The sequence below is a fragment of the Homo sapiens genome, chromosome 16, assembly GCF_000001405.40.
Source record: "Homo sapiens chromosome 16, GRCh38.p14 Primary Assembly".
In the NCBI taxonomy this organism is placed as follows: Eukaryota; Metazoa; Chordata; class Mammalia; order Primates; family Hominidae; genus Homo; species Homo sapiens.
In genome coordinates this window covers 90,157,402-90,172,068 of record NC_000016.10, presented here as the reverse complement: position 1 = coordinate 90,172,068, position 14,667 = coordinate 90,157,402, and the positions used below count along the sequence as shown (strand labels likewise).

General features: G+C 53.4%; 2 long non-coding RNA genes and 1 pseudogene across 3 annotated transcripts in view; all 3 read right to left on the bottom strand.

The window, feature by feature from the left end:
• Positions 1 to 14,667, bottom strand: part of FAM157C (family with sequence similarity 157 member C) — a 75,343-nt gene that overhangs the window by 5,538 nt on the left and 55,138 nt on the right. The window lies entirely within an intron of this gene.
• LOC101927999 (putative uncharacterized protein FLJ44672) lies at positions 28 to 6,814 on the bottom strand (annotated as a pseudogene). Its single transcript, XR_001752313.2, has 2 exons — positions 6,281 to 6,814; positions 28 to 5,902 (listed from the first exon to the last, which is right to left on the bottom strand). The product of XR_001752313.2 is annotated as a putative uncharacterized protein FLJ44672, transcript variant X1 (transcript).
• LOC105376781 (uncharacterized) overlaps positions 10,347 to 14,667 on the bottom strand; it is a 34,672-nt gene continuing 30,351 nt past the window's right edge. The window contains exons 13-17 of the long non-coding RNA NR_170196.1: positions 14,014 to 14,111; positions 13,481 to 13,677; positions 12,572 to 12,636; positions 11,917 to 12,021; positions 10,347 to 10,385 (exon numbers count right to left, since the gene is read on the bottom strand). This is a non-coding gene — a long non-coding RNA (uncharacterized LOC105376781). The remainder of the gene's footprint in view (positions 10,386 to 11,916; positions 12,022 to 12,571; positions 12,637 to 13,480; positions 13,678 to 14,013; positions 14,112 to 14,667) is intronic.

Here is a 14,667-nt window from a genome sequence, read left to right as displayed (position 1 = left end):
TTGGCGCAGAAACTCACTCCAAATAAATTACCTACCAAAATATTTACATAATGGTGGAAATATTCCAAAATTCAATATTTTGGGATTTATACACAAAAGATAAACAAATTAGAGGCCAAGAGGCTGCCGGAAGGGAAAAACGGGGCCTGGAATGGCCGACGTGAGGAATGAGCTGGGCCTAAAGAGGCCACTGGCAGGCAGGAGCTGGACCTGCCGAAGTGGCCGAAAGCCAGGAGCTTTGGACTGGGGAGACCGCAGTGAGGCGAGAGCTAGCTGGGCGTGGAGAGTCCGCTGTGAGGCCGAGGCCGAGGCCGGGCCCGTGCAGGCCTTCGAGAGGCAGGAGGCCGGGCCTGCAAAGGCCGCCTGGAGATCAAGTTCTGCGCCTGAAGAGGCTGCCAAAAGTCAAAAGCGGGGCCTGGGAAGGCCGCCGAGAGCCATGAGCTGGGCTGGGCCGAAAGAGGCCACTGGGAGGCAGGAGGAGCTGGGCCTGGAGAGGCTGACTCGAGGAAGTTTTGCACCTGGAGAGGCCGCCGAGAGGACGGAGCTGGGCCCGGGGAGGCCGACTTGCTGCTCTTCCAGGCCCACTTCCAGGCCGACTTGAGGACGACTTGGGCCTGCAGAGGCCGCCGGGAGGCTGGAGCTAAGCCTGGAGAGACTGACTTCGGGACGATTTGGGCCTGCGGAGGCCGCCGGGAGGCCCAAGCTGGGCCTAGAGGAGCCCACCGACCGGAGGCCGTTTGGGGCCTGCAGATGTCATCGGAGGGCCAGGAGCTGAGCCTGGAGAGGCCACCGCGAGGCCTGAGCTGGGCCTGGGGAGCTTGGCTTAGGGAAGTTGTGGGCCTACCAGGGCCGCTGGGAGCTGGGCAGGAGCTGAGTCCAAAGACGTTGTTGGGACCTGGAGTCGGGCCAGAGTCCGCCCTGGAGATGCAGCCGGGAGGAAGAGCTGGGCCCGGAGGGGGCGCCGGGAGGCTGCAAGTGGGTCTGAGAGGCCAACTTGAGGAGGCCTGGCCTCTGCCTCCCGCATTGCCCAGCTGTTCCTCCTGGCTGCATCTCCCACCTCCCAGCAAACAAGCTCTTTTGGCTCAGCTCCCGCCTGCGTTTGTAGACCCCGAAGTTTCTGCAACCAAGCTCTTCAGACCCACATCCCTTCTCCCAGTGACTGAACAGTCCCAGCTCCGGCTGGAGAAGGGCGTCTGCAGACCCCGCTGTTGCCTCCCAGGGGAGTCTCCAGGCCCAGCTCTCGCCCCACCGCGACCTCCCAGGCCCAAGTCCCTGCCTACCTCCCAGCAGCCCGAGTGCGATCCTGTTCCTCCCTCACGGTGGCCTGTTGAGGCAGGGGGTCACGCTGACCTCTGTCCGCGTGGGAGGGGCCGGTGTGAGGCAAGGGCTCACACTGACCTCTCTCAGCGTGGGAGGGGCCGGTGTGAGGCAAGGGGCTCACGCTGACCTCTCTCAGCGTGGGAGGGGCCGGTGTGAGGCAAGGGCTCAGGCTGACCTCTCTCAGCGTGGGAGGGGCCGGTGTGAGGCAAGGGGCTCACGCTGACCTCTGTCCGCGTGGGAGGGGCCGGTGTGAGGCGAGGGGCTCGGGCTGACCTCTCTCAGCGTGGGAGGGGCCGGTGTGAGGCAAGGGCTCAGGCTGACCTCTCTCAGCGTGGGAGGGGCCGGTGTGAGGCAAGGGGCTCACGCTGACCTCTGTCCGCGTGGGAGGGGCCGGTGTGAGGCGAGGGGCTCGGGCTGACCTCTCTCAGCGTGGGAGGGGCCGGTGTGAGGCAAGGGCTCAGGCTGACCTCTCTCAGCGTGGGAGGGGCCGGTGTGAGGCAAGGGGCTCACGCTGACCTCTGTCCGCGTGGGAGGGGCCGGTGTGAGGCAAGGGCTCACACTGACCTCTCTCAGCGTGGGAGGGGCCGGTGTGAGGCGAGGGGCTCGGGCTGACCTCTCTCAGCGTGGGAGGGGCCGGGGTGAGGCAAAGGGCTCACACTGACCTCTCTCAGCGTGGGAGGGGCCGGTGTGAGGCAAGGGGCTCACGCTGACCTCTCTCAGCGTGGGAGGGGCCGGTGTGAGGCAAGGGCTCAGGCTGACCTCTCTCAGCGTGGGAGGGGCCGGTGTGAGGCAAGGGGCTCACGCTGACCTCTGTCCGCGTGGGAGGGGCCGGTGTGAGGCGAGGGGCTCGGGCTGACCTCTCTCAGCGTGGGAGGGGCCGGTGTGAGGCAAGGGCTCAGGCTGACCTCTCTCAGCGTGGGAGGGGCCGGTGTGAGGCAAGGGGCTCACGCTGACCTCTGTCCGCGTGGGAGGGGCCGGTGTGAGGCAAGGGCTCACACTGACCTCTCTCAGCGTGGGAGGGGCCGGTGTGAGGCGAGGGGCTCGGGCTGACCTCTCTCAGCGTGGGAGGGGCCGGTGTGAGGCAAGGGCTCAGGCTGACCTCTCTCAGCGTGGGAGGGGCCGGTGTGAGGCAAGGGGCTCACGCTGACCTCTGTCCGCGTGGGAGGGGCCGGTGTGAGGCGAGGGGCTCGGGCTGACCTCTCTCAGCGTGGGAGGGGCCGGTGTGAGGCAAGGGCTCAGGCTGACCTCTCTCAGCGTGGGAGGGGCCGGTGTGAGACAAGGGGCTCACACTGACCTCTCTCAGCGTGGGAGGGGCCGGGGTGAGGCAAGGGGCTCACACTGACCTCTCTCAGCGTGGGAGGGGCCGGTGTGAGGCAAGGGCTCAGGCTGACCTCTCTCAGCGTGGGAGGGGCCGGTGTGAGGCAAGGGGCTCGGGCTGACCTCTCTCAGCGTGGGAGGGGCCGGTGTGAGACAAGGGCTCAGGCTGACCTCTCTCAGCGTGGGAGGGGCCAGTGTGAGGCGAGGGGCTCGGGCTGACCTCTCTCAGCGTGGGAGGGGCCGGTGTGAGGCAAGGGCTCAGGCTGACCTCTCTCAGCGTGGGAGGGGCCGGTGTGAGGCGAGGGGCTCGGGCTGACCTCTCTCAGCGTGGGAGGGGCCGGTGTGAGACAAGGGCTCAGGCTGACCTCTCTCAGCGTGGGAGGGGCCGGTGTGAGGCAAGGGCTCAGGCTGACCTCTCTCAGCGTGGGAGGGGCCGGTGTGAGGCAAGGGCTCAGGCTGACCTCTCGCAGCGTGGGAGGGGCCGGTGTGAGGCAAGGGGCTCACGCTGACCTCTGTCCACGTGGGAGGGGCTGGGGTGAGGCAAGGGCTCACACTGACCTCTCTCAGCGTGGGAGGGGCCGGTGTGAGGCAAGGGGCTCACGCTGACCTCTGTCCGTGTGGGAGGGGCCGGTGTGAGGCAAGGGCTCACACTGACCTCTCTCAGCGTGGGAGGGGCCGGTGTGAGGCAAGGGGCTCACGCTGACCTCTGTCCACGTGGGAGGGGCCGGGGTGAGGCAAGGGCTCACACTGACCTCTCTCAGCGTGGGAGGGGCCGGTGTGAGGCAAGGGGCTCACGCTGACCTCTGTCCGCGTGGGAGGGGCCGGTGTGAGGCAAGGGCTCACACTGACCTCTCTCAGCGTGGGAGGAGCCAGTGTGAGACAGGGGCTCACGCCTCTGGGCAGGGTGCCAGAGGCATGAGTTGGGCATCAACAGGCCATCGTGAGGGAGGAGCTGGGCCGTACGCGGGCTGCTGGGAGGCAGGCAGGGACTTGGCCCCGGGAGGCCGCCGTGGGGGCAAGAGCTGGGCCTGGAGAGGCCCCTGGGAGGCAAGGGCGGGGCCTGCAGAGGCTGTTCTCTAACCAGTGCTAGAACTGTACAGGCCACCAGGAGGCAGGAGGTGGGCCCTCAGAGCTTGGCTGGAGAAAGTTCGGGGCCTACAAAGGCGGTTGGGAGCTGGGCAGGAGTTGAGCCAAAAGAGCTTGCTTACTTGCTGGGAGGCAGGGCCGGGAGAGCCCGACTTCAGGACAACTTGGGCCTGCGGCGGTCGCCGGGAGGCCCAACCTTGGCGTGGAGGAGCCCACCGACCGGAGACCATTTGGGGCCTGGAGATGCCATCGGAGGGCAGGAGCTCATCCTGGAGAGGCCACCGTGAGGCCTGACCTGGGCCTGGGGAGCTTGGCTTGAGGAAGCTGTGGGCCGACCAAGGCCGCCAGGAGATGGGTAGGCACTGAGTCCAAAGAGGTTGTTGAGAAGCAGGAATCGGGCCTGGAGACGCAACCAGGAAGAAGAGCTGGGCCCGGAGAGGATGCCCGGAGGGTGCAAGTGGGTCTGGAGAGGCCGACTTGAGGAGGTTCTGGGCCCGGAGAGGCCGCCGGAAGGGAAAAACTGGGCCTGGAAAGGCCGTTGTCAGGAATGAGCCCCATGGGCCTGAAGAGGCCACTGGCAGGCGGGAGCTGGGCCTGCCGAAGCGGCCGAGAGGCAGGAGCTTTGGACTCGGGAGGCCGCAGTGAGGCAACAGCTAGCTGGGCGTGGAGAGTCCGCTGTGAGGCAGAGGCTGGGCCTGTGCAGGCCTTCGGGAGGCAGGAGGCTGGGCCTTGTCGAGGCCTGCAGAGGCCACCGAAAGTCAAAAGCGGGGCTTGGGAAGGCCGCCGGGAGGCATGAGCTGGGCTGGGCCGAAAGAGGCCACTGGGAGGCAGGAGGAGCTGGGCCTGGAGAGGCTGCCGAAAGGCAGGAGCTTCGCCTGAGGATGCCACAGTGAGACACCATCTGAGTCTGGAGGGTCCACTGTGAGGCAGAGGCTGGCCTGTAGAGTCCAACAGTAGACAGAAGTTGGGCAAAAGGCTGATTTGAGGAAGTTTTGGGCTTCAAGAGTCAGCCACGAGGCAGGCACTAGGCCTGGAAATGGCCTCACAGTCATGAGTTGGGCCTAAATGGGCCACTGTGAGGGAGGAGCTGTGCCTGTTGAGGCTGCTGGCAGGCAGGCAGAAATTTGGCCTGGGCAGCTGCCACGAGGCAAGAGCTGGGCCTGGAAAAAGCCCCTGGGAGGCAAGAGCAGGGCCTGCAGAGGCTGTTCTCAAGTCAAAGCTGGGCCTGTTGATGCCACCGGGAAGCAGAAGGTGGGCCTGGAGAGTTTGACTTGAGGAAGTTTTGGGCCTACATTGGCCGCCATGAGCTGGACAGGAACTGGGCCAAAAAAGGCTGTTGTGAGGCAGCAGTTGTGCCTGTAGACCCAGCCAAGAGGAAGAGGTGGGCCTGGAAAAGCCCCCATGAGGCAGAGGTTGGGCCTGTAGACGCTGACAGGAGGCAGGAGCTGGGCCTGGACAGGTCAACTTGAGATTTTGGGCCTTCATAGGCCACCAGGAGGCAGCAGTTGGGACTAGAGAGTCTGACTTGAGTAAGTTTTGGGCCCGGAGATGACGTCCTGGGACAGGAGTTGGGCGTGGAGAGGCCACCGTGAGGCATAAGCTGGATGTAGAGAGGCCAGTGTGAGGCAAGACCTGGGCCTGTCTAGGCTGCTGGGAGACAGGCAGGAATCTGGCCAGGGAAGGTTGCCATGAGACAAAAGTTGGGCCTGGAAAGGCCCTTGTGAAGCATGAGCTTGGCCTAAAGAGGCCACTGGGTGGCAGGAGCTGGGTGTGTAGAAGCTGCTGAAAGGTTGGGAGCTTGGCTTGGGGGGTCCACAGTGAGGTAGATGCTGGGCGTGAAGAATCTGCTGTGAGGCAGACGTTGGGACTGTAGAGGCTGACGGGAGGCAGAGGCTGGGCCTGGAGGGGCCACCAAGATGCATGAGCTGGGCCTGGTGAGGTCGACTTGAGAAAGTTCAGGGCCTGGAGAGAAGGCTGGGAGGCAGGAGCTGGGTCTAAAGAGGCCATTGTAACGATGGAGCTGTGCCTGTGGAGGCTGTTGTGAGGCAGTAGCCTCATCTGCGGAGGCTGCCGTGACGTAGGGTATGGGCCTAAATAGGCCATTGTGAGTCATGAGCTTGGTCTGTAGAGGCTGACTGGAGAAAGTTCTGGGCCTGGAGAGGCTGCCGGGAGGTAGGAGCTGGGCCAAAAGATGTAAGCACATTTGCATTTATTAGGCACTTTATTTCCATTATTACACTGTAATATATAATAAAATAATTATAGAACTCACCATAATGTAGAATTAGTGGGCGTGTTAAGCTTGTTTTCCTGCAACTGGATGGTCCCACCTGAGCGTGATGGGAGAAAGTGACAGATCAATAGGTATTAGATTCTCATAAGGACAGCGCAACCTCGATCCCTCACATGCACGGTTCACAACAGGGTGCGTTCTCCTATGAGCATCTAATGCTGCTGCTCATCTGAGAAGGTGGAGCTCAGGCGGGAATGTGAGCAAAGGGGAGTGGCTGTAAATACAGACGAAGCTTCCCTCACTCCCTCACTCGACACCGCTCACCTCCTGCTGTGTGGCTCCTTGCGGCTCCATGGCTCAGGGGTTGGGGACCCCTGCTCAAGTGCATCCAAAGCGACCCTTCCCACACCAGTCTTCACAGTGGTCCAGGGCAGCAACCACTTAGCTCCCAAGGCATGTGCCTCAGCTGGCATTTCGTCACAATCAACAGTAAGTGGTAGCTTGAGTCACTGTGAGGTCACCTACTGGAAATCACCAGCATCCCATTTCCCACTGGCAAAGAGCTCAGCACTGCCCCCTGGGAAACCAAACCTATGCCCAAATCCCATCTGTGTGGGTCTACCTCCTGGGACCCTTCCTAACATATTAGTCAGAGTCCAATCAGGAAGCATAAACCACTCAAAAGTTTAAAGTGGTAAAATTTAATACAGAGAATTATTCATTATAACAGGTGAACAGCATAATGAGAGATTGGCTAGCACAGAGTAAAGAGAACTCTAGAGAATATGGGACTAGCCCAGGCCAGGCATGGTGGCTCATGCCTGAAATTCCAGCCATTACAGAAGCTAATGCAGGAGGATTGCTTAAGGCCAGGAGCTAGAGACCGCTCTGGATGACACAGTGAGACCCTGTCTCTATCCAAAAGAAGAAAAAAGTTAGCTGGGGGTGGTGGTGCACACTTGTAGTCCCAGCTACTCGGAATGCGGAAGTTTGAGCCTGGGAGGTCAAGGCTGCAGTGAGGCATGATTATGCCACTACAGTCCAGCCGGATGACAGAGCAAGACCCTGTCTCAAAGAACAAAACCACAACAACCATTTACAGACAGAAAAGAAATAGAGCTAATAAGCTGAGGAAAGATGTTGAAATGTGACAAGTAAAGTAATATGAGGTCTTTTGTCTATTTAAAATAATCAAACAAAAAATGGCTTACGAAATTATAATACCCTGTGCTGGCAAAGGTGCAGTGAAATGGGCACTTTCTTATACTATGAGGGGTGGTTAAATTGTGTATAAGCCTTCCCGGGTAAAGCCTGTCAATTTTTTAAAATAATGGAGACAGGGTCTCACCATACTGCCATACTGCCTCCTCCAACTCTTGGCCTCAAGCAATCCTCCTCTCTTAGCCTCCCAAAGTGCTAAGATTATAGCTGGGAGGCACCCAAAACCCTGTCAATTTACATCAAGGGTAAGGAGAATGTCCATTCACCATGACTCACAGTAATCTTACTTCTGGGGAGACAATTCAATCTAAGCAAAAGGTCATCTGTACACACACAGTAAAAATCTGGGAGTAACTGAAGACAGAGTTGGTAAGTGAAATAAGAAACAGTTATAAGAAATTAAACTATGGTATCAATAGGCACCTGGTAAAAGGTCAGTTGATGTTAGCTGCTACTTTTTTGTTGTTTTGAGACAGGGTCTCACTCTGTCACCCAGGCTGGAGTGCAGAGGCCTGATCATGACTCACTGCAGTCTCAGCCTCCCTGGGCTCAAGTGATCCTCCCACCTCAGCCTCCCAAGTAGCTGGGACTACAGGAACATGCCACCACACTAGGCTAATTCATGTATTTTTCTGTAGGGATGGTGACTCCCCCTTTGTTTCCAAGGCCTATCGCAAACTCTTGGCCTCAAGCCATCCTCCTGCCTCAGCCTCCCAAAGTGTTGCGATTACCAGTGTGAGCCACCACACCTGGCCAGCTGCTACTTTTATCAATATTATTCTTATTCCACTCAATTAAAAATTATTATTTTCAAGGCTATGCAACAGTATGTATCCTACAGCGTAATTGTAAAAACATACACAGTCGTCATCCCTCAGTATACAGAATTAGTTCCAGCCCCCCATCTCTGCATATACCAAAATCCATGCTTACTCACGTTTCGCTGTCACCCCTCTGGAATCCACGTATACGAAAATTCCAAATGTTAGTTGGGCATAGTGGCAAGCACCTGTAGTCTCAGCCACGTGGGAGGTTGAGGTGGGAGGATCGCTTCAGCCTGGAAGGTTGAGGCTGCAGTCAGCTGCGATAGCACTACTACACTCCAGCCTTGGACAACAGAGGGAGACCCTGTCTCAGAACAAAAAAAATAAATAAATAAAAAATAAAACAGGTTAGAAACTGTGATGAGGTCTGTTGGACAAAATTCCATATAAGCAAAGTATAAATTAATAAAGCAAATCGTGATAAATTAGTACGATTGACTTTCTGGAGTTTCTGACAATAAAAGTAAGGAAAATGCAGAACACAAAGACAGAGAGTAAAAAGAGAAATTAGGAAAGCATTCTACATGTTGAATAGGAAGACACTGGCCATGTTCGTGCAGCGGCAGTATGTCGTGACATGACATACCTTGGAGAGAAGTTAACAGATGAGGAAGTTGATAAAAATCATCAGAGAAGCAAAATACTGGTAGCGACACTCAAGTAAACCATGAAATTTCCATAACTTATGTCAGCAAAGTGGGAATATTGTACAGTGTGTGTTGAAGTTCCTATACAACATTGTTTATCTGCCTTTTGTTTGTTTGTAAGGAATGTATATACTAAAAGTTCTTCTTGCTGTCAAAAGAATATGTGTGAATAAGTCATTTTAACTTATTCTTCTGTTTTTCTTTTATCTTCCTGCCATCATCCCACAGCCTTACTTTAGAAATTTCTTTTTTAGAAAATTGAACAAGTGCTCCCTGTGGTGGCACATACCTCGAGGATGGGAGGCAGGGGTGGAAGGGTCACTTGAGGCCATTAGTTTGACACCAGCCTGGCCAACAAAGTGAGACCCCGTGTCTACAAAACAATTTAAAAATTAGCCAAGTATCGTCATGTATACCTACAGTCCCAGCTACCTGAACTTACTGAGAAAGTTCAGAGCCTGGAGAGAAGGCTGGGAGGCAGGAGCTGGGTCTAAAGAGGCCATTGTAACGATGGAGCTGTGCCTGTGGAGGCTGTTGTGAGGCAGTAGCCTCATCTGCGGAGGCTGCCGTGATAGGGTATGGGCCTAAATAGGCCATTGAGAGTCATGAGCTTGGTCTGTAGAGGCTGACTAGAGAAAGTTCGGGGCCTGGAGAGGCTGCCGGGAGGTAGGAGCTGGGCCAAAAGATGTAAGCACATTTGCATTTATTAGGCACTTTATTTCCATTATTACACTGTAATATATAATAAAATAATTATAGAACTCACCATAATGTAGAATCAGTGGGCGTGTTAAGCTTGTTTTCCTGCAACTGGATGGTCCCACCTGAGCGTGATGGGAGAAAGTAACAGATCAATAGGTATTAGATTCTCATAAGGACAGCGCAACCTAGATCCCTCACATGCACGGTTCACAACAGGGTGTGTTCTCCTATGAGAATCTAACGCTGCTGCTCATCTGAGAAGGTGGAGCTCAGGCGGGAATGTGAGCAAAGGGGAGTGGCTGTAAATACAGACGAAGCTTCCCTCACTCCCTCACTCGACACCGCTCACCTCCTGCTGTGTGGCTCCTTGCGGCTCCATGGCTCAGGGGTTGGGGACCCCTGCTCAAGTGCATCCAAAGCGACCCTTCCCACACCAGTCTTCACAGTGGTCCAGGGCAGCAACCACTTAGCTCCCAAGGCATGTGCCTCAGCTGGCATTTCGTCACAATCAACAGTAAGTGGTAGCTTGAGTCACTGTGAGGTCACCTACTGGAAATCACCCGCATCCCATTTCCCACTGGCAAAGAGCTCAGCACTGCCCCCTGGGAAACCAAACCTATGCCCAAATCCCATCTGTGTGGGTCTACCTCCTGGGACCCTTCCTAACATATAACCTTCATAACATACTTGAGAGGCTGAGGTGAGACAATCGATTTAGCCCAGGAGTTTGAGATCAGCCTGGACGACATAACTAAATCTCATCTCTACAAGGACGAGGTGGGAGGATCAGTTGAGCCCAGGAATTTGTGGCCAGCCTGGGCAACAAAAGAAGACCCCATCTGGCCAACATGGCCAACCTGGCCACCACGGTGAAACTCTGACTCTACAAAAATGATCTGGGCATGGGTGACATGCATGTGTAGTCCTAGCTACTTGGGAGGTTGAGATGGGAGGATTGCTTGATCTCAGAAGGCCAAAGCTATAGTGAGCTATGATCACATCACTGCACTCCAGCCTGGATGGCACAGGGAGATTCTGTCTCAAAAAAAAGAAAAGAAATATATATTTAATCTCTGTCCCTGGTTCCTGGCACAGAGCTTCTAAAGCTCTTACAAAGACCTCAGTGATAGATGTGACAGGAGCATCTTTTGTTTTAATATTTGGTCTTGGTCCCAGGTTTCTAACACAAGAGCCTCTAAGAACTTTGGGATCTCCAGCATGGTAAGAATGCATTTGGGGATGTTGTTGAGATGACTGGGTGACTGCAAGCTCCTAAATTTCTTCAAGAGGAGGGCTGATTACCATGAAACCACATGGTAAGAGGCTTGGAACTTTCAGCCTCATGCACTGAACTCCAGGGGGAAGAGGGGCTGGAGACTGACTTAATCACCAACAGCCAAAGGTTTTATCAATCATGCTTGCATAATAAAGCCTCCATAAACACCCCGAAAGGGGTTTGCAGAGCTTTCAGGGTTGCTGGACACAGGAGATGCTGGGAGGGTCGCATGTTCAACAGAGGGCATGGGAGCTCTGTGCCCCTCCGAACTTAACTTTCCCTGGGTATCTTTCTTTTTTTTGAGACAGGATCAGGCTCTTTTGTCCAAGCTGGAGTGCAGTGGCACAATCTCAGCTTACTGTAACCTAAGCCTCCCCAGTCCCCAGCTCAAGGTATCCTCTCATCTCAGCTTCCCTAGTAGTTGGAACTCTAGGTGCACAACACCACACCAGTTATTATTATTATTTTTTAATTTTTTATAGAGACAGGTTTTCACCATGTTGCCCAGGCTGGTCTCAAACTCCTGAGTTTAAGCGATCCTCCCACCTTGGCCTCCCAAAGTGCTGAGATTACAGGCATGAGCCACTGCATCCAGCATGCACGTCTCTTTCATTGACTGTTTCTGAGATGTATCCTTCACAATGAACCAGTAATAGGAAATGAACTGGCCAGATGTGGTGGCTCACATCTGTAATCCCAGCACTTTCAGAGGCTGAGGTGGGAGGATCACTTGAGACCAGGAATTTGTGGCCAGCCTGGCCAACACAACAAGACCCCATCTATACAAAAAATAAAAGAAACTAGCCAGATGTGGTGGTGCAGGCATGTAGTCTCAGCTACTAGGGAGGCTGAGGTGGGAGAACCACTGGAACCCAGACAATCAAGGCTGCAATGAGCTATGACTGCACCATTGCACACCAGCCTGGGCAACAAAATAAGACCCTCTCTCTCAGAAAAAAAGAAAATAAACTGTTTTTCTGAGTTCCGTAAACTGTTCTAGCAAATTATTAAACCCAAGAAGACAGTTACGGGAACCCCCGATTGGTAACAGGTTGGTCAAAAGTATGGTGACAACTTAGGACTTGCCATTGTCATCTGAAGTGAGGATGGCCTCGTGGGACTGAGCCCCTAACTTGTGGGGTCTGTGCTAACTCCAGGTAGTGTCAGAATAAAGTCATGGGATACCCAGTTAATATCCAGAGCACTGAAGAATCTGGTGTAGAAACTCCATACATACATTCAGTCGGAAGTGTGTGAGTAGAGACAAACATGGGCTTTTCTGTCACCTACCTGCTTAACTGCATAGGAGAGGCAATATGTGGTGCTCATGAACAAAGCAAACATTAAAGTCAGACCAGACCCAACATTTGACTCAGTCTTAATATCCAGGTGAGCCTGCGCAAATCATTCATTATTCCTAAGGTTTTCATCACTCCATTCATAAAATGGGGATAACTGTGGCACCTACATGTGATTCTGTGAGAATTAACAAAATATTATGCTTGGGGTTATTGTGATCATTATACCTGTTCCAAACTATTTGACAAGGACAGTGATGGATGAAGACATCAAAAAATCAGAAACTGCAATGAGGTCTCTCAGGCAAAATTCCATACAAGCAAATTACTGTGTCTACAAAGCATTCCTGCCACACTTAATTCACCATTCCCTGAACAAAATATGCCATCTTCATTGTTCAGGTCTGTACAGTGCTGGTGTCCCTTCCCGGGCAGTTTGCGCTATCCCATCCCGGCCCATTCCCCATCCCTCCACCTCCCCCTTCCCTCCCCACTCTCATACAACTCTTCCTCATCTTTCAGGACTTGGCTTCAATGTCACCTTAACTGGAAGCTTCTCTCACTCTCCAGAAGAGCTTCCCATTGCACCTGATGCATGGGAAACATAATTTGATCATTTTTAAGTTACAGTCCAAATCTTTTTGTACCTGAATAACATGTTGCCCAGTCAGTCTCTCTTCCTGGATTCACAAGTCTTTCATGGTAGATCCAGCTGGAAGTGACAAAAAGACATCTTTTGACATAAAGGGATGACACAGACAGACATAAGTTCTTAAATGTCTTAAATGTTATGTGAAAATTAAACAGAATTCAAAGACTTGTGGGGAGCACTTAGGAAGTTACTGGGAATGTCATAAAGGGTTAATTTGTATTTTATTTTATTTTTTGAGACAGTCTCATTCTGTCACCTAGGCTGGAGTGCAGTGGTGCAATCAGGCTCACTGCAGCCTTGACCACCTGGGCTCAAGTAATCTCACTTAATTTTTATTTGGTTTAAGAAACTCTTGGTTGAGGGTGGTGGCTTATGCCTGTAATCTCAGCACTTTGGGAGGCTGAGAGAGGTATATTACTTGAGGCCAGGAGTTTGAGATCAGACTGGGCAATATATTAAGACCCTGCCTCTACCAAAAAACAGAGTGAATGTGTGGAAGACAATTTTTCCACAGACTGGGAATGAGGGAATAATTTCAGGATGATTCAAGTGCATTACATATATTGTGCACTTTATTTCTATTATTACTACATAGTAATATATAATGAAATGATTCTACAACTCACTATAATGTAGACTCAGTGGGATCTCTGAGCTTGTTTTCCTGCAACTAGACTGTCCACCTGGGGTGATGGGAGACAGTAACAGAATATCAGGCATTAGATTCTCATAAGGAGTACACAACCTAGATCCCTCGCATGCACACTTCACAACAGAGTTTGTGCTCCTATGACAATCTAATGCTGCTGCTGATCTGACAGGACATGGAGCTCAGGTGGTCATGCAAGCGATGGGAGGGGCTAGAAATACAGATGAAGTTTCCCTTCACTCGCCTGCTGCTCACCTCCAGCTCTGTGGCCCTGTGGTTGGAGACCGCTGCTCAAGTGCATTTGAAAGGAACCATCCCACGCCATTCTTCAGAGTCATCTTTACTGCTGCAGTGGTCAACTTGTAGCACCCCTAAGCTTGCAGGACATATGCTTCAACTGGCATTTCACAATCAACAGTATGTGGCAGCTTGAGTCATTGTGAGCGCACTTCCTGGAAATCACCAGCATCCCATATCCCATTGCAAGGAGCTCAGCACTGCTCCTTGGATAACCAAACCTATTCCCAAATCCCATCTGTGTGCGTCTATCTCCTGGTACCCTTCCTAGCATCAATTCTGTATTTGTAGGAGTCCAATCAGGAGACACAAACCACTCAAAAGTTTAAACTAGAATGAGCAAGATGGCTCACACCTGTAATCCCAGAACTCTGGGAGGCCAAGGTGGGTGGACTGCTTTGAGCTCAGGAGTTTGAGAACAGTCTGGGAAACATGGCGAAACCTCGTCTCTACAAAAAACACAAAAATCAGCTGGGTGTGGTGGCACTTACCTGTAATCCCAGCTACTCGGGAGGCTGAGGCAGGAGAATTGCTTGAGCCTGGCAGGTGGAGGCTGCAGTGAGCAGAGGTTGTGCCACTGTACTCCAGCCTGGGTGACAGTGTGAGACCCGGTATCAAAAAGAAAAAACATATATATATATATATGTAAATTTAATATAAAAAGTATTAATTTTGGCCAGGCAAAATGGCTCATGCCTGTAATCCCAGCACTTTGGGAGGCCAAGGCAGACAGATCACCTGAGGTCAGGAGTTCGAGACCAGCCTGACCAGCACAGAGAAACCCCATCTCTACTAAAAATACAAAATTAGCTGGGCATGGTGGCACATGCCTGTAATCCCAACTACTCGGGAGGCTGAGGCAGGAGAATTGCTTGAACCCAGAAGGTGGAGGTTGCGCTGAGCCGAGATAGCACCATTGCACTCCAGCCTGGGCAACAAGAGTGAAACTCCATCTCAAAAAAAAAAAAAAGGTATTAATTTTTACAGAGGATCAGCACAATGAGGGACACACTAGCACAAAGTAAAGACAACTCTAGAGAATACGGAACTAGCAGAGGCCAGGCATTGTGGCTCATGCCTGTAATCCCAGCAATTTGGGAAGCCTAGGCAGGAGGATCGCTTGAGGCCAGGAGTTGGAGACCAAT